The 26033-nt window shown below is 48.3% G+C and overlaps 1 protein-coding gene and 1 long non-coding RNA gene across 7 annotated transcripts in view, besides 2 other annotated features; both read left to right on the top strand.

The window, feature by feature from the left end:
- ATP2B2 (ATPase plasma membrane Ca2+ transporting 2) overlaps window positions 1–26033 on the top strand; it is a 384094-nt gene that overhangs the window by 129118 nt on the left and 228943 nt on the right. The window lies entirely within an intron of this gene.
- Window positions 7041–7540: an enhancer, noted in NCBI's record as "H3K4me1 hESC enhancer chr3:10613143-10613642 (GRCh37/hg19 assembly coordinates)". NCBI's record gives its function as "activates a minimal SCP1, AML or CMV promoter by ChIP-STARR-seq in naive H9 embryonic stem cells {active_cell/tissue: H9 hESC(naive)}" and the evidence as "EXISTENCE:reporter gene assay evidence [ECO:0000049][PMID:30033119]".
- On the top strand, window positions 8624–12744 carry ATP2B2-IT1 (ATP2B2 intronic transcript 1). Its single transcript, NR_046765.1, has 2 exons — window positions 8624–8878; window positions 12528–12744. It is a non-coding gene; the product is annotated as an ATP2B2 intronic transcript 1 (long non-coding RNA).
- Window positions 25020–25314: a silencer, noted in NCBI's record as "tiled region #781; HepG2 Repressive non-DNase unmatched - State 10:DNaseD". NCBI's record gives its function as "represses a minimal TATA promoter and a strong SV40 promoter by Sharpr-MPRA in HepG2 cells {active_cell/tissue: HepG2}" and the evidence as "EXISTENCE:reporter gene assay evidence [ECO:0000049][PMID:27701403]".

Raw genomic sequence — 26033 nt, 5'->3', positions numbered from 1 at the left:
TTTCTACATGCATGACCAATACCCAGATCCAGCTGTAGCACGTTGCCACCTCCCCAGGAGGCCACCGCCCCTTCCCAGTGGATCCCTCCTTGCCCTCCAGAGGAGACCACTGCTCTGACCATTACCACGGTAGATTAGTTTCACCTACTCTGGAACCTCATATAAATGGAATCGCATGGTGTGTTCTCTTCCTGCCTGGCTTATTTCACTCAACATTGTGAGATTCATCCATCACCCATGTGCTCCAGGTATCAATGGTCCATTCATTTTCAGAGCCGTGTAGTATTTCATTGTCAGACTACATCACAAGTTGTTCATCTGTTCTCTTGTGGGTGGGCATTTGGGTTGTTTCCAGTCTTAAGCTATAGTGAATTAAGTCTCTATGAATATCTGTGTATAAGTCTTTGGTGGTCATATACATATATATGTTTTTCTTTTTGTTTTTTTTTTTTGAGATGGACTCTCTCTCTGTCACCCAGGCTGGAGTGCAGTGGCGAGATCTCGGCTAACTGCAACCTCCACCTCCTGGGTTCAAGCAATTCTCCTGCCTCAACCTCCCGAGTAGGTGGGACTACAGGCACGTGCCACCACACCTGGTTAATTTTTTGTATTTTTTTTAGTAGAAACGGGATTTCACCATGTTAGCCAGGATGATCTCGATCTCCTATATATTTTTATTTCTCTTATGTGGAGTGGGATTGCTGGGCCATAGGGTAGGTGTAGGTTTTGCTTTACTTGAAACTACCAAAACTTTTTCCAAAATGGCTGTTCCATTTCACACTCCCACCAGCAACGTATGAGAGCCTCTGTTGCTCCATGTTTCCAGCAACACTTGATACAGTCAGTCATTATAGGTTTCGCCACTATGGTAGGTGTGTGATCATACCCATTACATAGAAGCAGAAACTGAGCCTCAGAGATGCTGAGCCCCTTGCCCTGGAATCTAGGGCCTAGATCACAGGGTTACTGAAGACAGAGTAGAGACTTGGACTCTGGGATTCTGGATTTCGGGACTGTGTCACAGCCACAGTTAGAGTCATGGAGCTCATGGACAGAATCAGAATATAAGCAATAGTTATTAGTGTTTTCTGCACAGGAAGTGGATGGTTGAAAACCATCAGCAGCAGTGTTGGACCAGGCTGCTGGTCTGTGGACTCTCAGCTCAGTGCTCATCCTCCTCTGGCACAGTGCCTCGGGTTCCCTCTGGCATCCCCAGGGAGATCCCAGGTTCCCCGGTAACCCTGCCATTCCGAGTCACGCTGCCGGGAATGCATCCCCATGAGCTTGCCAAGAAAGATTGTTCTTTTGGGAGCTGGCAGGACACCATCTACATTGTGCAGCCCAGGGCCTTCTCTGAGTCCCCCTCCCAGGGGTTTTCTGTCCCCAAAGGCACTGATTGTTCCTCTCAGGAAAACAACCCGTTCTGAGGTTGGGAGATTAATGAGGATGATGGAGCTTCAGGAGACTCCTGCTTGGCCCTGGCCCAGCCGATGGTTTCTGCAGCCCTGGGATCCCCTGATGGCCTTGGGGATTAAAGCTGAGGAAGAGGACACCAAAAGTCTGAGATCCTATACCAGCTCTGCTCCTGTCTTGCCGGGTGACACTGGGAAAGTTACCTCCTATCTCTGAACTCTTGCCACTTTCCATAAATGGAAAGACTAGATGAGAAGCCAGGAATCTCAGCCAGTGTCTGGAACCCCAGAGCCTCCCAAGATTCCCTATGGCAACTTGGCGGTTTTGCCACACCTGTTGGCCTCCCAGCCTAGTGATTCTCAAGTCCTAAGGTGAATGTGATTCTCCAGGAATCCTGCTAACTGCAGATTCCAGCTCAGTAGATCTGGAATGGGATCTCAGTGCCTGGACTTCCATCAAGTTCCTAGGTGACAATGAGGCTGCTGGCCCAAGGACCATACCCAGGCAGCTTCTTTTTTTTTTTTTTTTTTTTTTGACACAGAGTCTCACTCTGTCACCCAGGCTGGAGTGCAGTGGTGATCTTGGCTCACTGCAACCTCCGCCTCCCAGGTTCAAGCAATTCTCCTGCCTCAGCCTCCCGAGTAGCTGGGACTACAGGCACCCGCCACCATACCAGGCTAATTTTAGTAGAGACGGGGTTTCACCATATTGACCAGGCTGGTCTCGAATTCCTGACCTTGTGATCCGCCCACCTTGGCCTCCCAAAGTGCTGGGATTACAGACGTGAGCCACCGCGCCCGGCCCCAGCTTCTTATATTGTCCTGAAGACAGCCTCCCACGTTATGCCAAGCTCGTCATTCCCTCCAGCTCTTCAAAAGGACTCTGGACCTTTAAATAATCATTCTGAGCCAGGTGTGGTGGCTCATGGCTGTAATCCCAGCAATTTGGGAGGCCGAGGCAGGAGGATTACTTGAGGCCAGGAGTTGAAGACCAGCCTGGGGAATATAGTGAGACCCCATCTCTACAAACAATTTAAAAATTAGCCGGGAAAGGTGGCACCACACCTGTAGTTTCAGCTACTAAGAAGACAGGTGGGAGGATTGATTGAGCCCAGGAGGTTGATGCTGCAGTGAGCCATGATGATACCACTGCACTCCAGCCTGGGCAACAGAGCAAGATGATGTCTCAAAAAATAACAATAATAATAAGAACAATCATTCTGATTGAGCTCAGTGTTCACCGTACACTCGGCCTAAGCAGCCTGAGTGAGAAGGGAAGCCTCGGAGTGTGGAGTGAGGCCGCAGGAGAAGCATGCTCATGCCTGCAAGGACGTTCTGCCGAGTGTGCGCAGGACATCCTCGGCCCTGCCCTTTTTCTGGTGCCAGGTCCATCCACGGGGGCAGTCAGCACAGGGGCTAAGGCATCTGGAGGCCTGGACACCTCCAGTCAGCAAACCTGGCTTTGTAACTTTGCTCTGCCAGCAACTAGCTGTAGGGCCTAGGCAAAGCCCCAGCTTCGCCATGTGTGAAATGAACACGTTAGCAGCATTTGCGGTACAGGGTCATTGTGCAGGGGAGTGAGGCCATCCATGCCAAGTGCTTGTTAAGGGCCACGCATCCCTGGACATGAGGGACAATTTTAAGGTTTCCTATCTTGCTCAGAACTGAACACATGGGGTCTCTAAGGCCCAGATTTTGGACAGTTTCCAGAAGTCAGATTCTCCCTCAAATAACTAGCGCTTCTCTAGGTTATCCTAGAAGCCCATAGATTTGGGCAAAACTCCCAAATGCAACCCTACATAGAGCCTCCCTGCCAGCACAACTTCCCTCAGACACCAGAGACAACAGAGGGCTGCCAGCCAGCAGCCCAGGGGAAATTCTCCTCTCCAGGTATTGGTGTTTTTATGCACATTTCTCATCCTCTCTACCCCAGACATAACCTAGCATGCATGAGCTGCCAGCTAAGTCTTCTCAAGTCAGTGTCCACCTATCACTGCCCCTGCTCAAGAGCCTTCCATAGCTCCCATAAGTGTGTAGTTCAGCAGCATTAAATATATTCACATCATTGTGCAACCATCACCACTATCCATCTCCACAAATTCTTCATCTTCCCCAACTGAAACTCTTATCTAAAGACTTTATATGGATTGTTTTCGTTGAATCCTCCCTAGAACTCTAGGAGGTCATTTTCCCAATGACCTCTTCTCTATAATTATTATTTTGTCTGAGCCCCATTGGCCTTAGTTTTCTCATCTGCAAAATGGGGCATAATAACCCTCTGAGCTTTACAGACATATAGGGCCCTCAGGCTCAGCCTTCTTGCACCTCCCCTCAGGTACACCCTCTGCCCAGCAATTCTGAATTGTGATCCAGATGGCTTTTTCTGGTGCTGGAGCCTAAGTGGTGGGAGGAGGGGTTGGGGAACCTATCCCCACTTCCAGCTCTTTCTTTCAGCTTTCTCCCCCGGGCGGAAAGGCTGTATTGTGACCCCAGGCACTGAGCAGTCGGCAGCGGGGACTTCACCAAGGATTCAGAAATACCAGGGTTTACTCAGGCCCTTGTTGACATGTGGGGTCTGGGTGTGTCCCAGCCCGGCAGGCCCTGAGACACAGGCCCAGGTGTCAAGTCAGCCAGCCCTTTGTGAATGGCTGTTCCCACCACACTCCCTGCAAGGGACAGACAAACCCAAGAATCCCACCCTCATATCCCCCTCCTCACCGGGTCTTCCATACCCACACATCCTTCCCCTACCGTGCAGTCTCCCACCCCGAAGTAGTCCACTCCTCCTTCCCCCACACAGCTGAGACCTGTTTACTTTTTAAATTAATATTGTAAGCTTTGCAGGGTTCCTTACACTCATGATCTAATTTAATCTTAAAAAGATCATTCCAAGTAGATATTACTACTTTTAAATATGTGTGCTCCATGTTTTACAAGTGACTTTGTGTATAGAGAAATGTAAATAATAATTATAAATTAGAGATAAGGAAAAAAGAAACTAATAATTACCCAAAATGCCCACCAGGGAGATAAGCATCATCTAGACCTTGTTAAAAGGATGAGATGGACTGAAAATCAATAGAAGAAAAGGTTGATATGGAGAATGCCCCTTGCCTAGTATGCTCTGAGAACGCCAGGCAGACAGATGGCCCAGGCAGATCCTCCAGGCAGAGGACCAGATGATTCTGCTCTAGGGAAAGTCACCAGCACCAAAAGAAACAGCCATCACCACTGCTGTGTGGGGGCCTCCCGGGGCACAGCTCAGCCACCTCGGTGAAGCCCACCATTCAGCGACCACCTTACCCCACAGAGCTCACAATCAGCAGTTTCATGTTTCCCCCTTATGTGGAATAGACTCCTAGGCTCAGCGGGCATCGGAGGGAGGCAGGAACCAAAACCCAGAAGAAAGAAACTGGGAGAAAATAGAGGCAAAGCAGAAAGCAGAAGATAACTTCCAAAACCCACTGCAATTAATTAACATTGCTGGGAGATAAGACAAGAGGGAGAAGCAATAAAAGGACCCCTGGGAGAACAAGAAGAATCTCTGGAAACAAATTTTTTTGAAATAGCAGAATTGAACGTGTCAATAGGATTTATAATGGGGGGAGACAGGCAGAGTCTGGCTGCTGAGTGAATGTTTGGGGAAGGACCAGTGAGAGACCAGAAAGGATCTGGGTTTGAGCAAGCAGGACCAGGCAGACGCCGTATTTGCTGGGCTGACAGCTCCCAGAGGAAAAGCAAATTGAAGAAGGCTTCTTTTTAGATGAGTTTAGTCAGGGAGTCTCCAGGACGTCCCAGTGGAACAGTTTGTATAGAATGGGGCACTCTACCAGCAAAGAAGCAGTAGATAGGAACCCAGAGAGTAAGATGGCGTTGCTCTCAGAGTCTGGAGCCTGGCTCAGCATAGGCTATTTCTACCCCAGCCAGTTCTTGCTGAAGGATGGTACCCAACCAAGCCTCTGAGACACTTGTTAACAATACAGAGTCCCAGGCCTGGGATCAAAACCTGGATGGGGACACAGGAATATGCATTTCAACAAGCTCCCCCAGAAATCTGAAATTGACCAAAATTTGAGACCCTCTTGTTTCAGGAACAGGTAGTGATCAAAGTTCTAGGGAAGAGACTGAGCATGCAGTCAGGGAGGCAGGGGGTGAACAGGAAGTAGAGGTGGGGTGCCATGCAGGAGCTTACTCTCTGTGCCAAGTTCTGCCATCCTGGTGCAGTGAACTTATCACTAACTTCAAAATAGCAACAGCTCTTCGAAATTCAGCAGCAAAATCACTGATTCAGGAAGCAATTAACATAGACATTCAATCAATTATTCATTGCATTACTAATGTGTAGCAGTAATCAAATTGGCCTTTTAATATGTATTTTTTTCTTTTAATTAACCCTGTCCAAAACTAGAGTATATTCCATGCAAAAAAAAAAAAATGTATTTGGCTTGATTTTAAAAAGAAAGAAGAGGAAAATAAAAACCATTTTATCTCATTATCATTGTGTCAAAGGAACCTGCGGGCAGAAATTGCTTTGTGTGTTGATTGTCTTGTTCACATGATTTGAGATGCACCAGGAATCTGCACGTCCCGTCTGCAGATGCCTGAAATTCCATCATTAGTGATTAGATGAAGCCTTATTGTGTTCCTGTCTCTGGTAGAATAGAAAGAGCACTGGACTTGGAGCTGAGAGATGCAGCTTCCAATTTTAGAGCTGCCCCTAAGTTACTGAGAAACCTTGGGTTACCTCTGTGAGCCTCAGTTTCCCCCAATGAAGAGACTGAAGTTAGACACTGCCAAGAAGTCTTCCAGTTCTGACATTTTCTCATGTGGCCCCTGCAGATGCCCCTTCAACCCATTAATATGAATGAGCGTTTGCCCCTTCCTGGAGGAAGTGAGCAGTGGGGGCAGGCACCATCATTCCAGAACTGTTCATCTATCATTCCATGTAGTGTAGTTGGAGTATGTAGTTTCACCACACACCCCCTCCTGCTCCTAATAATTGCTAATATCTACTAAGTGCTTCGTATGTGCCAGGCACTATGTGGTATTTTTTAATTGTGCTAAAATACACATAACATAAAATTTACCATTTTAGCCATTTATAAGTGTGTGGTTCAGCAGCATTAAATATATTCACATTATTGTGCAACCATCACCACCACCCATTTCCACAAATTTTTCATCTTCCCCAACTGAAACTCTTGTCTAAGGATTTTATGTGGATTGTTTTTATTGAATCCTCCCTAGAACTCTAGGAGGTAGGGTCTGTTTTTCGGCCTGTGTATTAGTTAGCTGTGGCCATACTGATGCTGTGTAACAAACAACCATAGTTCTTCAGCCAGATACAGTAACACAACAGTAAACACTTCTTAGCTTAGCTCCCAAGTCTGCAGATGGGCCAGCGGGCAGCTGATCCAGGCTGGCTTCATTTGTCTCTGAGCCTCCGCCTGCAACCAACAAGTTTAAAATAGGGATGCTCTTCTTATGGCGATGGCAGAGGCATGGGGGCAGGTGGAAACCCACAGTACCTCTTAGAGTCTAGATTCCAACTTGGCACACCTTGTTCTGTTGGACAGAGCAAGTCACATGGCCAAGCAGAAAGCCAAGGGGTGGGGAAGTTGACCCCCTTAATGGGAGAAACTGCAAAGTCACTTAGCAAAAGACATGAATTTTGGGGAGGCTCAGGAATGGGAGCCAATTGCACAATCTTCCAGAGCTCCGTTTTAGAGATAAGGAATTGCTATCTCACCAGACTGTTTAAAGGATTGGCCAAGGTGCCAGAAGCGACACAGGACACTGCTGGGTGCTGAGTGGGAACCCAACGATGCTCATTTCCTTCAGTTAAGGAGTCATCCAGGGTGCATTTAAACAAGGGAGCACCCGACCTCCCCACCACAGTGATTGTGACTTTCTTCAACCCCTTCCAAGCCCATCCAAAGCTTTGAGCTTGGCGTTCAGTGCTACTAGGAGCTGAGCTGAGTAGCCTGGCTGAGCTTATCTGGCTTTCCTCTCCTTCTAGGCCCCCAACTCTTGCCAGACTGATGGTCCCATGCCCATGTCCATGCCTTGCTCACGTGGACTCTTTCTTATGGAAACGGCCCAGGCTTCTGCAGCCAGTTCAGCGGCCCCTCCTCCAGGCAACCTACCTCTAGGGACTCCAGGCAGCATGCTGGCTCCCCTGGCCTTGTGTGGTACAGTGGGTTCTCACAGCCCATGGGGCGTGAGGCCACGAGTCACCTACCTGGCCCTCTGGCATCCCTGCTGAAGGCTCTGTTCCTGGCACCACCAGGCAGTCCTCCTGGCCTCATACAAGGACCTTCCCCAGCTTCTGCCCATCTTGGGGGAGCTAGAGAACCCCACGGCAATGGCATTGGCCCTGTGGACACCAAGTTGGTTTGGGGAATATTCTGCCTTCTTCACTTCATGTAACCACAGCATGAAGAAACTTCCAGAACACCTTCTTCCTCCCCAAACTTCCACCTTTCCCCCACCACCAGTTCAATGTAAATTCTTAGAGCAACGGAGATGCAGAGAAATTTGTCTCTTTTCGTTTGTGGCCTGGGATATGTGAAAAGAATGAAGCAGGCCAACTCACTGACCCAGAATTTTATATTTAAACCTAGCTTTCCTTGTGTGCTTCAGTAATGGCAGTGAGAATTTATCTTCATTAAGGATTGGAGAGTAGGGGCCTCAGATGGGCAAAGTGGGCCTCTCGGGGCATGGCAGTGAGGAGGGCCTTTCAGGCCTTGGTCAGTACAGCAGGGCGTTGAGGTGCTGCGAAGTCCTGGGGAGAGTAGGTCTCATTGCAGGGGGCAGGGAGCCTTTGCCTCTCGCCAATGGAGTTTTGGGCTGGGTTCCAGCAGGGACTGACTTGTGCCAGGTCATTGCTCAACACGCCAGAGGGGTTTCCATGTAACTCTCTCCACCAAGAGGCCAGCCTTTGTGTTCAGATAACTTTGGCTGGAGAAAGTGAGGAATCCACCTTCTTAACCCTGCCTTAATTACGAGGGAAAAATCAACTGAGATATTTTGATAAATATTTCATTGTTTCAGGTGCAACAAGTAGAGCCCATGATGGCTCCAGCCCGGCCTACTGGGGAGACACTGGTTTCTTAAAATCACTAACAATGGACCAAGCTGACCTCACAGCTAAGCAGAGTGGGTGGTCGCCTTAGTGATGTGAGTCGAGGGGTGCCAGGCAGCTCCCTCTGCTGCAAATCCCTCCCACTCACCAAACTGCTGCCGCCTGCAATTCCACAATGAGCACTTTAGTCATCAAATCATAAAATGTCAGCTTGTAATTAGCCTTGGAACCTGTCTAGTTCAATTTCCCAGCTCAGAGTGCTCTTGGAAGATACCTGAACGGGCCCTTTATTTTAGAGTGAATTAGTGGCAGAGCTGGAACTCGAGTCTGACCCTGCACAGTGAAGGACGCTAGAGGCATCTGCAGCTTCTTCAATGGGAAGGTGGGTTCTGAGTCACAAGATGGGCAGCTCCCCAAACAGAGGAAGGGGTTCAGACATCAGGCATCCAAAGTAAATGACCAGTGTCCTAGGGGCAATCTGGTGGGCCGGGCTGGATTTTAAATATTCTTCCATCAAAATGGCCCCAGGCTAGGCTACCAGTTTAGCTTCCCAATTTTGTTTTCTGTCTTTCAACTCCTGGAACTTCTCTAAAGACTTCTGGCCAAATAGGTATCCCAGTCTGTGTTAGGCAAATAGAGCCAGTAGGTGGAGGCAAGCCTGGGACCAAAAAGAGCAGTCTATGCTGTGAACCTAGCTTTAGTGGGTGTTAGGGTTCAGCCTCCGGTTGTTGACCCTCAGCAAGTCCCTTCACTTCGGGACTTGCCTCACCTCCTTCACTTTCACCCCAGAGTGTTACACCTGAGCCCCTTCAAGCTCACACACTCCAAAAAGCTCTGAACGGTACACCTTAATATTCTTCCTTGAACTGACTCCCTGTCCTCACTGTCCATCTTAGCTTCATCCTAAGGATTAATATCCATGAGGTCAGGGATTACATGCTAGTTGCACATTTTTTTTCTGGTTCATAAAAATAATCTATAACTACTAAAATAAGAAAAAAAATACTGGTCAGGGTGCCATCTAGAAGCATCTGTATCACTCCTTGGGAGAGGAAAGGAGTGAAAAGAGTTGGCCCCCAATCCTATTTCTAGCACTTCCTCACCGTGGGACCGAGGGCAAGTCACTTCACCTTCCCAAGCTGCTGCTTCTGTTTCCTCACCTGCAAAATAGGGTTAATTCTTCCCACTAGGGATGTGAGTGAGGGGTGGCTCCCGTTAAAATATATCACCTGCGTAGCCAGGATAGTGTCTTGAATACAGTAGGTGCTCAATAAAGAGGAGCGATTGTTTTTATAATTGTCACATTTTTCCCTATTTCTCTTGGGTGGAGCAAGGGCTTTGGGGCCACATAAGGACTTGACGCTTGGCTCTGATACTCCCTGGAGTGTGAGCTCAGATCATTCATGTCACCCCTCCTCAGTTTCCTCATCTGGAAAAAGTGAACAGCGATACCACGTCCCAGGGTTAAGAGGAGGATCCATCGAGATGGGGAAGAGTCTGCATATAGCAGCAGCTGCAGAAGTTATATTCGGCAAGTTGTTGTTTCTAGCTGATGGCAACTCTATATTCTTTCTTTTTGTCCCTGACACTGTCGGCTGGTAGGGTTTTATTTTGCCTGTCTGTTGTTCAAACAAAAGCCAGGCAGGGAAAATGGAAGACCGAGGCTATGTGACAGCCACAGCTGCTTGTCTGCATTCTGAGCAGTGGAAACCAGGCAAACAGAAAGACACGGCTATAGGTCTGGAGCCAATGGCTGAGCCTGGGAACACATTGGGAAAAGCATCTGAGTGGTTATTCAGGGATGTTGCCTGAGCTTATAAGGAAGTCACACACGATTCCCAAACTGAACAGGAGGCCGTGGTTTCCTGAGGCCTTGAGTCCAAAGGGACATTTCTGAAGCAGTGAAAACCATAAATAGCTGGTAGTAGACTAATTGTTCAACAGCCAGAACTGAAGTGCAGGAAGCAAGCTTCCCCCTGAGTTTCAGCCTCCTGAACCTGTCTGTTTCAAGCTTAGAGAATCTAGGCTTTCTCTGCTGGGCCTCATGTTCAGGAGATTTTTCTTTCTCTGAACATCAAGTGTGTGGGTTTTCACACCATGGGACACCCATGAGCCCTGATCCTACCAGGTGCCTAAAAGCTGCTTTGAAAACCTCCTGGACACTCATGGCTTTGGTGTATGGTTGTGGAGGGTGGAGAATATGGCACTGGATGAGCAAGCTGGCTTGGTTCACAGTACCGGGGTCCAGGAAAGCACCCCATGGGCCTCCCCATTCTTCCTTTGTGGCCGGCAGAGGTAAGCGAGCTGTCCTTGGTGTGGCAGCAGCCCTGCACCTAAGGCTGCAGGACCTACAGTGTCAGGGGCACAGCCTGAGCCCACTCTGGGCAGGACCAGGCTCGCCCTCTTTGTTCTTAACTCTGCTGAGGGACAGAGCCTGCTCCAGCCACAAAGGGCCTCTTCACCTTTGCCTTCCCCTCACCTGGGTACAGGTGTCATTTTTGGAGTTGGCCAAACAGGATATACTGTCTTAGCCCTTCTCAGAAGACAGTCAATGCTGCCACCTTCACACAATTTACTCACTCTTCATGGTCCCTATCGGTACAGTTTGACCATTCATCAATCCTCACCATGAAACCAATAACCATTCATTTGTTCCCTGAGCACCCACTGAGAGGGCCAAAGTGGATGAAACGCAGTCTCAGCCCTCAAGAAGCTCCCAGGCTGGTATTGTTTTCCATCACCACATCCTATTCCTCAAGCCAAGCACACATTCCCCATGTTCCATGATTAATTATCAATAGAAATAATAACTTGAATAACTAATACTTATTGAGGGCTTGCTCTAAACGAAGCACCTGTGGAAAACACTTTGCATGAATTTTCTCATGAAATTTTCACAATGATCTTGTGAAGCAGCCCCTGTCATCATCTCTATTTTTCAGAAGAGGAAACTGAGACTCACAGAAGTCATGCCCAAGACCACCCAGCTGATAAGGGAGGCTGTCAGATTGCACAGCCAGGCTGGCAGGCTCCTGAGCCCACACCCCCCTATATGGCATTCCTATCAGCATCAACAAAATTAGACTGAGCAAATGCAGGTTAGATTTGCCTGTCTCCTAACACAGGAGACATTATCATGTCCATTTGGTGATCCCAGAAACAGAAGCTCAGAGAGGCCTGCAGAATTCCCTGAGGTCATAGAGCTGAGACTTTTGTTTCAGGACTTGTGGTTGCAAACCCACTTTCACTGCAACATGTGGCCCCCTAAATTCCAAAAGGGCATTCTGTCCCTGGGTAGGCTTTGATTAGCTATGGCTAAAATGAAGCCTCTGGCCCCAGTTAGATTGTGGTTGGGAGGAAGATTGACACCAGGAGAGACACCTCTAGAAGGAGGGGCTGGTCTAGATATCAATGGGTCTCCCCAGTTATGGTGAGGAGAGGGAATGGGAGAGTTCTAAGCTGTCACAGTGGCAGGGCACAAGAACCAAGCATGGGCCCCACACATTGAAGACCTATCATACAACTGGCACAGTGTCGGATGTCTTATTGGATGTTTATATCAGTGGAAATCCTGTTTGTACGTATCTGAACCCAGAACCTGACTTTGTGTTAAATCTTAACCCACTAATATATCCTGAAATTTCCAGGAATTAGACAATCAAGGAAATTGATGGAAAACTGTCCTTCATTTTGTTCAGAACTTCACCAAGAACTGGCCCCATGTTAAAAACTCAGAACCAGCATGTCACTCAGGTCCCACTGCTGTTACAGCCACCCTGTCTGTGTTAGTAACTGTCACATTTCCAGTGATTTGATGTATATCTATGAATGTATTTATTTAGCCCTCACATCAAAATGTCAACTATAAAGAAAAGAGGCGACAATATTCCGTTGAACGTTGCCTTCTCTTCAATCTAAACTAATTCATCCCAAGTAGGATCCATTATCTGACTGTCTCATTATAGTCACACTGGAAAAGCACATCTTGTTGTTATAAATGACTTTCATTTTATTTCTCTTCTTTATTACAGTTGGGGCATCATATGCCTTTTTGAAATTATGTGTATTGGTAGGTTATATGATGTGTGAATTTTCTTGGAAGATAAAGAAAAAAAGTAAAATGATGTTGGATCCAATGGGACCAAGAGCCACCAGCACAGTGGATAGAAACAAAGGCCCTGTACTGAATCCTGCCCTGCCTCCTAATTAGCTAGGACCTTGCATATGAGCATGAACATCAGCTCTTACCCCGGGTCTCTGAAGTCATTTATTGAACTTGGTTTCCCCACTAACTAGTGGGTGAACAGTGGGTATCAACAGATAATGGAATCGAGGGACAGATGGATAAGCTGGATGGATGGACTGATAGGTGGATGGATGAATAAGAGAGTTGGAGGGTGGGTGGAGAAATCAGTGGAAGGAGGGGTGGGTGCATGGGCAGATAGCTGGTGAACATCTGGACTCATGGATGAATAGACATAGTAGGCAGACAGACAGATACATGGGTGGGTGGATGAGTGGGTGGACAGATGGGAAGGTAGATAGGTGGATAGACAGCTGAGGGGGTCGGTAGGTGGAAGGATGGATGGATGAAGTGAGGGAAAGCAAATGATGAGGCACAGAGAGTTTTATTCGCTTGCCCAAGGCCACACAGCTAGTAAGAAGGACTGGGACTCAGCCACTCTAACTCCAGAGTTCATTCTCTTAATCACTGTATTACGTTTGTTGAAGTAACTTAGCCAAGTCACCAGCTAGCAATAGGTGAAGCCAAGATTTGAATCCAGGTTTGTCTGATTCTCTACTACCCCTCTGGCCTGAAGACTGGAGGCTCCACATTGAAGACCAACTATGAATGCCACAGGACCCCAGACCTCAGGCAGCTGGGGTTTAAATCTGGCAGTCACACCATCAGTTCTGAGTTTAGAAAAATAATTTGCCCAACAATGTAATGTCTGGGCTGGAGGGGACCCCAGTGATCAAGAGGCTGTTGCAGTAGTCTAGGCAACAGACAATGAGGACTCGAGCCAGAGATATGGCCAAGGAGGCAGAGAAGCAAAACAGATTCCAGAGGCTTTCAGAATTAGAGTTGTCAGGACCTGGTGACTAAGCCCACGCGAGAGATGGGGAACAGCAGAAATCACAGAGGTCTAGGGAAACCCGGACACAGTCATTTACCTTCCCAAGCTGTGCTTCCTTCATAGAATGTATTAGTTAGGATAATAAAGGCTAGGTTGCTGCAACAAAGAGACCTCCAAATAGCAGGGTAGAAAACTTTTTCTAGGGTCTAAATTGGCTGCTCTAGCCTGCCAAGAGTGCTCTACTCCACGAGGTCATGCATTGACCCAGGTTCCTTGCATTCTGTTGCTCTGCCACCCCTTAGGATATTGTCCTCATTTACATGGTGGGATCTGTGTCCCAGGCACATTGCATTCACAGTTCCAGGGACCAGGTGGAAGACACACACCCCCCAGTGTTTTAAGTCAAGTCCTAGAAGTGACACATATTATTTCTACTCATCTTCCATTCAGATGAGGATTTAGTCACATGGCTACACCTAGCTGCAGAGAAGGCTGGAAAATGTGGTCTATCTAAGCAGCCGTGTACCCAGACAACTCTCAATTACTCTGGGAGAGTAGGAGAGTGCATTTGAGAGAACAATAGGAAATCTGTCCTATCTGGGAATTGTTGGGATGCAGAGTTATCATCAGAAAAAAATGAGATCATGTCCTTGTAGCACCTGGCAGCACACAGCTGGCAGAAGGTAGAAGCCCAGTAATGGTAGGTGTCATTGCCATCATTCCTAAAGGGTGTGTAAGTGGCACATAAAGGAGTAGCAAGGCCTCTAAGAATTAGGAGGCTCTGGCCACAAAATCAATTCACAGTGGAAGAGATCAGGGACATCCTGGGACAGTTCCAAAATGAAAAGTCATACACACTAGAATCTGTAGGGGAGAGGGGAGGGGAAGGGAACGTTTTAGACAGGGGGAGACAAGATCAGCCTGGAGCCAGGGTTGAGCTAAAGGCAGACAATTCTGGCAAGGAGCATGCCCCCACTGTTGGGGAGGAGGATGGGAGGAGCTGCTGGCTTAATAGCCACCGGTGGAGCAGACTTAGCTGGAGAATAGGGATGGAGGGGCAGGGAGCCAATCAGGAAAATAGAATCCACTCCAGGTATTTCAAACAGAAGAAATTTAATGCAGGGAATTGGTTGCACCGGGAACAAAAGAGCTGAAGCCAAATAGGACAGCCCAGGTGAGCAGCAACAGAAGAAGGTTGCTGCCAGCCTATGGGTATTATTGATCAGCCCCCAAGGGATTGGTTATATGAGTCTTTTTCTGACAGACAGGTCCTCTAGACTCAGCTGACAAGATCGAGATTCTAAGCCTCAGAGCCAAGGCTAGACCTAGAATGGATCTGGTTGTACCCTGAAGTTTCTTTCTCACCAGGGCTTGGGGTAAGTTCCTGGAGTGGCAGCCCCATGAAAACACATGGTCAGAAGTGTGAGCTAGTTTGCTGTAGTTACAAGGTGGAACTGAGTTCCACAGGTGGGGAAGTTAAGGCATAAACAGACTTGGTTCTAAACCTGGCTCCACTGTGTGTTCTTGGACAAGTTGCTGTGTGTTCTTGGACCAAAAGTTGTGTGGTTTTTGACAAGTTGCTTAGCCTCTCTGGGCTTCAGTTTCCTCTTCTGCAAAATGGGGATGCTAATACTGTCCTCTGAGAGTTGTTTTCAGAGAGTAAATGAAATATTCATAGTCAGGTGGCTGGAACACTGGCCTAGTTTACTTCCTGTCCTCTTTCAGAAGCCTGGGCTGCACAGTACTGGGTGCTCAGAGGCAGCAGCCACAGCATCAGCCCCAGTCTTGCCCTGTCTGTAGTCAGACTGTGCAGCTGATGCAAAGAAAGGATGCAAGTAGCGGGAGCTGGATACCCAGCCTCTGGGCTTCCCCACCCTCCAGGTGCAAGGAAGCCCTGATTCTCAGACCTTACACGTCAACCCCAAACCAACAATGCCTGACCATCTCACCTGTGAGAGTGGAAGGGGGAAAGCCACATAACATCCTGTTTACCCATCCAATGAGGGTCAGAGCAGTTTTGTTGTGGCCTAATTGGATTATTGATTTGCCAGGAGTTAGTGCGGAAGAGTTGTTAGGATGCTAGCTCCTAGGGTCAGGTGAAACTGGGCTTTATTCCTGATCCAGCCACTGCTCAGCAGTGTGACCATGCAAAAGTCACTTAACCCCTCTGGGCTTCAGTTTCCTCATCTGTAAAGCAGTGTTGATAGCGTCTCCTTCATTGCTTAATGTGAGAATCAGGTGAAATAATACATGCAAAGTTCCGGCTCAGTGCCTGGCATACAGCCAACCCTCAATATAAGTTACCTATATCATTACTGCTCTATCAATTTTTAAAAAAGGAAAAACAGAAAGGACTTGTGTCAGCCTATTTATACAATATGACAAAGTTGAAAAGAAATTAACTAGGGAATCAGAACATAATGGTAGAAAATAGGATGGAACCATAAGAAGGTTCATTCAAAGCATGTATGCTTTAAATTTGGTTTTGAGTTTCCTAGCAGCCAAAGCAAAGAGGAAAACCAAATTGATTATACATACATACATAATTGCAACACACCTTATGCAAAGAAAATCATATTCCTCATAGATTATAAGGATGGGTATTCCATAATTTATTTAACGAATCCCCATTGATGGGCATTTAGGTTGTTTACAATTTTTCTAATAAGCAACGTTGCAGTGAATATTCTAGTACTCATATGTTTGCCCAATTCTTGAATATTTACATAACACTGCTACCAATTCAATGATCAACTTGAGGTCCAAAAATTCCTAGTCCTCCTGAAGGAAAAAGACTGTTTGGGCAGGGTGGAGGTCCTAAAAAGAGATGGAGGACTAGAGATTGAAAGGCGCTGGAGGTGAGGGGTCAGGGAAAGGGGTGATTCAGGGAATCAGATATCCAGCTGCTGTTGCCCACTGAGTCTTCCCTCCTTCCCCAAGACCCAGCAAGAGAAGACCCATAGACTAGTGAGGGAAAATGAGGCAGAAGCCCCACCCCTGGAGGGCAGCTCATTCTGAGAACATACCACTTAGGAGACTAAGAATAGTAACTCCCCCACCCACGCACAAGCTCATGCCCAACTCTTCAGCCACACCAAGCTACTCACTGTTCCTCCTCGTACCAGTCAGACTGCCATGGGACTCCTCTTGATGTCCTGCCAGCCTGAGGAGCCCTCCTCACTGCCTCTAGCCCCTGGTAAGCACCTGAAGGTGCAGCTCATCTGATCTCTCTACCATAAGGGCTTTTCTCCCCACCCATGGCACTCAAGAGAATCACTGCACCTCCCAGATGCAGTGTCACAACTGTTCATATACTAGCAGACCTCATCCACATTCTGAGTCCTCTAAGAGCAGGAACGTTGTCTTGTCGAGTTCCTCACAGAGGCATGTTCTAAAATGAACAAGGGATACAGCTTTTGCATGAGATGCTGGGTGGTCTTCTTCAGCCCCTTGGAGAGGCAAGATATTAAGTGCAGAGTCAGACTGGGTTCAAATCCTGACTGTGATTTGCTAGCTCTGTGACTGTACTAGCCTATTCTCATGCTGCTAATAAAGACATACCTGAGACTGGGTAATTTATAAAGGAAAGAGTTTTAATGGACTTACAGTTCCACATGACTGGGAAGCCTCACAATCATGGCGGAAGGCAAAAGGCACGTCTCACATGGTGACAGGCAAGAGAAAATGAAAGCCAAGCAAAAGGGGAAACACTTTATAAAACCATCAGATCTTGTGAGACTTATTCACTACCGTGAGAACAGTATGGGGGAAACTGCCCCCATGATTCAGTTATCTCCCACTAGGTCCCTCCCACAACACATGGGAATTATGGGAGCTACAATTCAAGATGAGATTTGGGTGGGGACACAACCAAACCGTTATCAGTGACCTTGGGCAAATCACTTCACCTCTCTGAGCCTCAACTTCTTCATCTGTAAAATGAGGATAATGATAATACTAGCTGACACATTCTGATCCACTCCCCTGTGCCAGGCATTGCAGGGATTCACTTATTTAAATGCCAGGGGACCGCTGGGGGGTTAACCAGTATGATGCCATGCAACATAGCACATGTCTCATGAAAGGCAGCTGTGCCCCACCTCGTCCCACTCTGGCTATATGTCCATACATCCACTGACTTGTTCCCATTACTCATTCAATCAGTTGAGCACTGTCTGTATACCAGGTGCAGTGTTAGGTTCTGAGGGTGTAATCGTATACAGTAAAAATGTTCTCTACTCACAGGAGCTCTCAGCCTGGTGGAGAAGACAGAAATTACATCATCACACAGATAACTACACAATGACCACTCCAGGCTAAGTGCAAGGGGAGACTTGTACAGAACCCTATGTGAGCACAATGGGAGTGGCTTTTGATTAGAGGGTGATGGAAGGTCATTCTTCAGCAGTGACCTGGATGATCGGAAGGATTTTCTTGGAAGAAAGCAGGGCACGAGTGTTCCAGGCAGAAGGAGTAGTACATACATAGGTCCTGGGGTGGGAACGAGTCTTGTGCACTGGGGCCACTGAAAAAGGACAGATGCTCTGGAGCCTAGAGAACAAGAGATGGTGCTGTGAGGGGCTGGGGAGAGGTGTGGGGTTTGGATTTCATCTAACTGCAGGAGGGCCGTCAATGGATGTAAGCTACAATGTGCTCGAATCCAGCCCCCAGAAGCCCCTTCTGTTGGGGAGTGTATCACAGGGGGCAGTCCTGGAGACCCAGGTGGAGGGTATTGCATTCCTTCAGGCGGATGGCGAGCTGGCAAAGGAGGTGGTAGCAGAGGGAAGGATGTGCAAGGTGCTAGATATAGAATCTACAGGATTTGGTAATGGGGCAAGGGGCTGATGGGAGCCAGGCAGCAGGCTGACCAGCTGTGGGGCCATATTCCAAGATGGGGAAGACTGAGGGAGAAGCATACTAGAGAGAAAGATGGGGCTCAGCTGGGGCTATGGGGCATTTGAAGTGCTTTTCAGCTCTCAGAAGACGGCCCAGCTGAGGGGATGTTCCTTTGGTGTTCTGATTACATCAGAGTGAGAGCCTCAGTGAGGTACCCCAGGTTGGCCGCACCTCCCAGGAACATCTGCTGAGCTCCATCCGTCCTGGGAGGACAGGCCCTGGGCTGACTCCAGCCGTCATCAGAAGCTTGGAACATTCCTACTGTGGAGCTCTAGCACATGAGGTTTCCCGCCCTGGCCTGCCTGCGACACGCCATTATAAAAGACAGCTACTACACGATGCCTTTCGCTGGTTTGTTCAGAAGCCCAGCGACTGCCTTTGAGTTGCTCCCATCTCATTATCCCCAGAGTTTCTACTTCTTTTTGTGAAAATTTAATTGCCTGCTAGATTTGAAAGGGTCTGGGCCAACTGTTAAGGTTTGAGAAGTCAGAGTGAAATGCACTGTGATCAAAGGCTGCAAGAGGCCAGCATCTTTCGTGTTGGCAGCTCCTTAAAATCGGAGCAACTTTACTCCTCCCAAAACAGAAACCATATCACTCAGTGTAGAAACTTGAAAGAGTGTTCAGCTAGCCCTAGCATTTGAACTGCCTTCTGCATCTTTAAATCGTTTTCTCTCTGGAAATGGAATACCCGGGACTCATTCTGAGCTCCCCGCGGAAGGAACACGTGCAGAGTTACCACTGGTGGAACTTGTGTCTCCTTGGATGTTCTTTAAACCTCAAGCCCAAGATAAATCTTGAGGAGCCAATGAGTTGTGCAGATTATCTCCATACTCCCAGAGCTTCTCAGAGAGCTGGGATTGGAAGTCGGGGGGCTTGGAGGCAAACTCCAGCACCCTGGGCTGGGTGACCTTGAGCACATCTCTCTGTACCCTGGATCTACATCTGTAAAATAGGCCTAAAGACTTCCCTGTCTAATTCACTAGTTTTTTTTTTCCTTTTCTTTTTAGTGGACACACAATAATTGTACATATTTATGGAGTACAGAGTGGTATTTCCATACGTGTGTAGTGAGCAGATCAGGGTAATTAGCATATCCATCGCCCCAAACGTTTATCATTTCTCTGTGTTGGGAACATTCAAAATCCTCTCTTCCAGATTTTTGAACATGTGCAATAAGTTATTGTTAACTATGTTCACCCGATAGTGCTATAAAGCACTACAACTTATTCCTCCTATCCATTAACTAACCTCTCCCCATCCTCCCCGCCCACTACATTTCCCAGCCTCTAATAGCCACAGTTTTACTCTCTACTTCCACGAGCTCACTCCAAGCTTAAATAAAGTGTGAAAATGCTTTGTAAATGAAAGCATCACACCCATCAGCAGTTAATATCGTTCATCTTACTACCCCTCCTGGGGGGACTTGCATTTCAAAACTGAGGAGCCTGGATCAGCAGAGAGTGTTTCTTAGGGAAGAAAAGCATTTCTGAAATGTTGGAAAACAAATTAGTGTTTGAAGGGCAGGGATAACAGGTGTGAGGTTATGTTGAGAGCCACAAGGTATATAAATAGCAGAGGAGGTGACAGGAGCAGCTGGCCTCACTCCTGGAGGGTGCAGGGCCACCTTCTGTTACTCTCCTCACTCGTTCTCTCCTCTCCTCTTTCCTCCCCTCCCCTCTCCTGTCTTCCTTTCCTTCTCCTGCTGTTATTCCGTGCTCTCCCCTCATCCATCTTTCTCCATATTTTGCTTCTGAGTTCCGTTCTTTCTTTCTTGTTCCAAAAAGGCTATGAGCTGTAGACATTAGGAGTCTTTCTCTCAAATGCATCTCAAACTGGGTTAAGCACAAAGGGGTTTAAGGGTTAAACTGGGGGTTTCCATTATTCCACTTATTGGCTTGAGTAACTGAACAGTCATAGGAGGTCAGGCTTCAGGCACAGCTGGATCCAGGGACTGGGAAGATGTCCAGAATGTATTCACCCCTTCCTCTCCATCTCTCAGTCCTGACTCCCTTATGCTGGCTTCACCCTCAGACATCCTCTCCTTGCGTGGTGGTAAAAGTGCCCCCCTCCTCCCACCTTCTCAGAAGCTTTAGGTGACTTCCTAGCTTAGCCAACCGAGCAGAAAAAGAGAAGGGAGCACTTAATTCCCTGCAGTCCTAGCAATGATCTTAGGGCTGCCTCTCAGTGGCTCACAGACCACGTGCACTTCCATGAACCAGTCACTAGCTGGAGGCTACACAGCTTGGTTTGGTCAAGGCTGGGATGAATCATACCCATCCTGGGAGCACCAACAGGGTCAGCCCCATCAGAGCCTCACAGTCTGAGAGTGCGGGTGCTGGGGGGTTGAGCATTTCCCCAAAGGCAGTTCTAGCTGCTCTGACCCAAAGAAGGAGGTAAATGCCAGCAGAGGCCCCACTGGCATCTATATGGAGAATAAGTTCTGAGGACATGCCAGAAGCACACTTCAGTCTGCTTGGGAGCTTACTGATGACCTGTCGTCTCCTTCCTTGTCTTGCCTTATTTCTACATTATGTCCCTGTATCACTGCCTGGCCAGGGGCCTTCATGCTACCATCTCTGACCAAGATGCATCCCCACACTGGAGGCATGCCTGGCCACACCACTTGATCTTCGAGTTTGCCCTCCTCCCCTATAAGCTTGGTCCTTGCCACCATGATGACTCACCTTCCTGTTCTTAGCAGGATGGTATAGCAACAGCATGGACTGCAGGCTCACACGGACTGGAGTTCAAACCCATGCCTGCCAGGTACTGAGATAAATGACAGTGGGTGAAAGATAAAAACAGAATAATGGTGTAGAATGTACCCTCTGGTACACAGGCCCCACTCCAGTCACTTCAGACCATTCTTCCTTCCCTGAACTCAGCCCTCAGTGACTGTGCCCTGCAGTCCCTGCCTAAATGCCCAGTCCGTTTCTCCTCTGTTCCCAAGAGGCCAGCTCCAGTGCCTGCTCCTCTAGGAACCCCAGCTCCTGGGTCTCACTCCAGCCAGACCTCTCCAGGAGCTCTGTCCACCTTTCCTGCATCGGCTTTCCTACCAGAAGGCTCTCCTGCCTCCTTCCATCATGCTGCAGCAGGGGCACAAACTCCCTGGGAATCTAGCTTCGTCCAGGCAGCCCAGATGCCGCAAAGGCGGTGAGAGACCCAAGCCCATCTGGCAAAGCATCGGCAGCTTGACTTTTCTGATGAACTTTTTATAAGTCCTCAAAAGTTCACACTTCCCAAGCGTCTGCCTACTCTCTGGCATCTTCATTTATCTCCTCAGTGGGTGACATTTCTGGGCCCCTGGAACTGTGCCTTCCAGAACGCAGTGGCCACCCAGGGCCCAAGCTGCATATTTACCTCTGCATCTCAGAGCAGAGACCAAGGCTGGGAGGCCAGAGATGCCAATTAGAAACACCTAGCCAGGAGAGGGAGAAGGGAACCACTTCTCGGGACTCAGAGTGACTCATGGCAGGACAGTCTGGGGGCTTCACCACCATCACAGCCTGGTGTCTGGAGAGAAAGAAAAAAAGCATGAACTGAAATATAGCCTAGTCTGAGATTCAAATCCTGACTTAGCTGCCTACCAGCTATGTGACCTTGGGCAAAGCACTTCACCTCTCTGAGCCTCACTTTTGCACACTTGCAAAATAGGGACAATTGTACCCACCCCAGAGGGTTGCTGTAAGAATTCAGTGACAAGATATGTGAAAGAGGCTCAATGAATATGAGTTTGTTATTAATAAAATAAGAAAGAATACATAAATAGGAGTAATTAAAGTTTAATAAAACAATATAAATGACAGAATAACATTTCAGTTCTGCATCTGTTCTCTGAGCACACACTATGTGGTGTCCTTGCAGTTTCTCAAACACGCCAGGCACACCCCACCTTCAGGGGTTTCGCCCTTGCTCTTCTCCTCCCTTAGGAGCCTTCTTCTCCAAACATCTGTGCTGCTCACTCTAGTCTGTGCTTAAGGCCGCGTCCTCAGAGAGGCTTTCCCTGCCCCCTTCTATAAGACAGAAGCCCTTCCTGTCACTTGCCACTCGCCCTGCCTTGTGCTTCACAACGGCAATCCTCTCCTGACACAGTCAATTTTTATTTAATGTTTAGTTTGTTCAGCATTTGTCTCCCCCACCACTAGAAAGACAGCTCGAGGGAGCAGAGACCTTGTTCACCCTTGTCCCCCCAGTGCTAGTGGAGAGCCTAATACCTACTAGGTGCTCAGTAAAAATTTGAGAGCAGTCACATAGACAAATCAGACATATCCCTGGCCTGGAGAACCTGGGTTTTCCGTGAGCACTGCCTGTCATAAAATGGGCTTCTGGCCAAGCACAGTGGCTCACGCCTATAATCCCAGCACTTTGGGAGGCCAAGGAGGGCAGATCACTTCAGGTCCGGAGTTTGAGACCAGCCTGGTCAACATGGTGAAACCCTCGTCTCTACTAAAAATACAAAAGTTAGCCAAGCGTGGTGGTGGGTGCCTGTAATCCCAGCTACTCAGGAGGCTGAGGCAAGAGAATTGCTTGAACCCGGGAGGCAGAGGTTGCAGTGAGCCAAGATTGTGCCACTGCACTCCAGCCTGGGTGACAGAGCAAGACTCCATCTCCAAAATAAAATAAGAGGGCTTCTGACCTGTCTCTCACAAAGAAAGCCACAGAGAAGGTGGGATCTGGGCTCTGGGGTCCTAATCAGGCCAGCTATGCAGGCATCTGGGATGATAGCAGCCATTCTAGTGAAAACAGCCACTGCCTTTTGCTGCATGCTCACTCTGGACCCTGTAAGGAACCCTTCCCACACAGCATCTTATGGGCTTCTCCCCACCAGCCCCACAATGGAGGTGCTGCTATTCCTCCCATTCAACAGGGGAAGAGACAAAGCTCAGAGAAGAGGCATAACTAGTCAAGAATCACTCTGTCAGGGCCAGAGATGTGTTGGAGCATTGGAGCCCAGATGTGTTGGCCACCATGGCTGGAGCCCTTAGCACCAACATCAAGGTGCCACAAGGAAGCCAGAAGCCCAGCACAAAGAGATGAATGTGACCTTGCACAGGGAGGTCAGGGAAGGCTTCCCGGAGGAGGCAGCATTTGCTCTGGACCTTGACAGATACATAGGAGTTTTCTAGGTGAAGGGGAGGAGACAGAAGCATAATAGGTGTTAATCCTGTGGTCCATTCAACAGGCAATCATTGTACTCCTGTGTGCTGGGCAGAGATAATGCCCTTCTGGGAATGAAGCCCTCAGATTCCAAAGAAGGCTGAGAGGAAACAGCCAGTTGCTGTGAAACACAGAGCAGGGCCTGGGCCTGGCTGAGAGAAATCTAAGAGCAGGCATTGAGCACCTACTGTGTGCTCACATTTTATCCTTGCCGTTTGATGTGGAAGGTGCTATTCCCATTTTCAAAGAAAGGCACTGAGGCCATAGGCTTTGGGCTGCCTGTGCTTGGCAGGGGCGAAAAGGAGGAGAGTACCCTCCTGCCTGTCACATAATGGGCCTCTGACCTGCCTGTGCCCAAGAAAGGTTCAGAGGGGATAGGTTTGGGGTCTGGGGTCCTGATCAGGCCAGCTGGCAGAGAATGGCAGGGAAGGGGCCTAGAAGTTCCAACTCCCTGGCAGGTGGCCTCAGTAGCCTCAACAAGGTCTGACCCACACCCAGAGGTGCCTGTCACTGTTTGTGTTACTTGCTTTGGGACCTTGAGTAAATCATTTTATTCCCCTGGGCCTTCTGTTTTCTGAACTCCAAAAAGCTAAATGTGATCTTCAAGGCCCTGCTTCTGGCTTAGGCATTGCAGATTTCTAAGTGTGGTGTATTAGCTTACTATTGCTGCTGTAACAAAAAACCATAGACCAGGGGATTTAAAATTGATCAGCTGACAGTTCTGTAGTCAGAAGTCTGACACAGCTCTACCGGGCTGAAATCGAGGCAGAGCCACATTCCTTCTGGAGGCTGCGGGGGAGAAGAATCTGTCTCTGGGCCTTTTCCATCTTCTAGAGGCTGCCTATTTCCTTGATTCACAGACACTGAATCTTCTGCCTCCCTTTTCCACTTTTAAAGGTCCTTGTATTCCATTGGCCCACCCAGATCATCCAGGGTGATCTCCCCTGTCTTAAAGTCAGCGGTGAGACACCTTCACTCCATCTGCACCCTCATTTCCCTTTGCCATAAGCTGACATATTCACAGGCTCTGGGGGTTTGGATGTGGGTGTCTTTGTGCAGCCATTATTCTGCCTTCCACACCTGGAAACTGAGACATTTCTGAGAGGCCTTGGGCAAGCTGTCTCCCCTTTTTGGACCCAGTTTTTTCTCTTCTGTGAAATGGTGTGGCTGCTTTGAAAACAAAGTGAGAGGATGAGTGTTCAGGTGGGTTACAAAGGGTCAAGCGCCATACATGGGGTTAATTCTTTATTCCTGGGGTATTTCTATTGCCAGCAATGGCAGCTGGCAGCCTCTCACCGGGCCCTCATGCCTTCCTATGCCTTGTTCTGAAAAGCTGCAGCCCCCACCCCCGCCCCACTAGACCCCCAGAAAACAAACGTGGGTCTGTGTACCGCTCCTGCTCATTATAATCTCTTGCTTCTTTTCACAAAACCCCAGGGGCCCCTGGGATTTGGGAGCTGGGGGATGTCACTCAAGGATGCCTATTGAGTGCTAAACAATGGCCCCCTCATGAGGTCATAGGGCCGCTTAGCAACCACCCAGGCCCTTAGTAACGGGCCCAGAAGTGTTGATATTTACCCAACAGAAACTTTGGATTATCTCGATAACACCCAGTTCCTTCCAGAGAGCTGCAGGCACTAAAAGCAAGCTCCACCCACTCCGAGCTGCTGCTCTGGCTCTTCCAAGAGCAGGCCTATGGAGGGGCAGGGAGTCCTGGGTTTCCCCCCCAGCTCTGCAATCCTCTGAGGGCCTCAGTTTCCCCCACAACATGGGGATCAGACTAAATAAGTACTAAATATTTAAGTAGTATGACTGTATGTCCCTGCTGGCCCAGAACAGTTCCATTTTATCAAGACTATTAAAAGAGGCGTTTTCATTCTCAAGAGTTGGAACATCAACCTTCTGGTCACCCACCTCTAAAAGGCCACTTCCAGCCCTCAATCCCATTGTTCTTCCCCTCCACCCTCTTTCCCAGTCTGAATTAATCCTGAATAGTTTCACCTAGCTTTTTCAAGGTCCCTCTCTGTGTCAGGCATGGAACAGGGCGCTGAGGAAACTGAGGCAAACCAGACGTGGTCCCTGCTTTCAGGAGCTTCCAGTCCGGGAAAGAACACCGCTTAAACACTCTGCAGAAATCTAGGTCTGAATCTAGAACCTTGCAATTCTCAGACTTATTTGTGTTGTCTTCACTAAGCTATTTTAGTAAATAATAATACTCCATAGAATTCCGGTGGCATTTTGCAGTTTCTAAAGCATTTCTGTTATGTTCCCTCATTTAACCCTGACATCATCTGAAGGTGTGATTTTAATATATTCCCATTGCACAGATGGGGAACTGGAGGCTGGAGGCCATAGAGGACAGAGCAGTTGGATGCCCTTGAGGAGCAATTCAATCTCTGCCTCC

The sequence above is a fragment of the Homo sapiens genome, chromosome 3, assembly GCF_000001405.40.
Source record: "Homo sapiens chromosome 3, GRCh38.p14 Primary Assembly".
Lineage (NCBI taxonomy): Eukaryota > Metazoa > Chordata > Mammalia > Primates > Hominidae > Homo > Homo sapiens.
The sequence above is the reverse complement of the archived record's forward strand: the minus strand, read 5'-3'. Positions and strand labels throughout refer to the sequence as shown.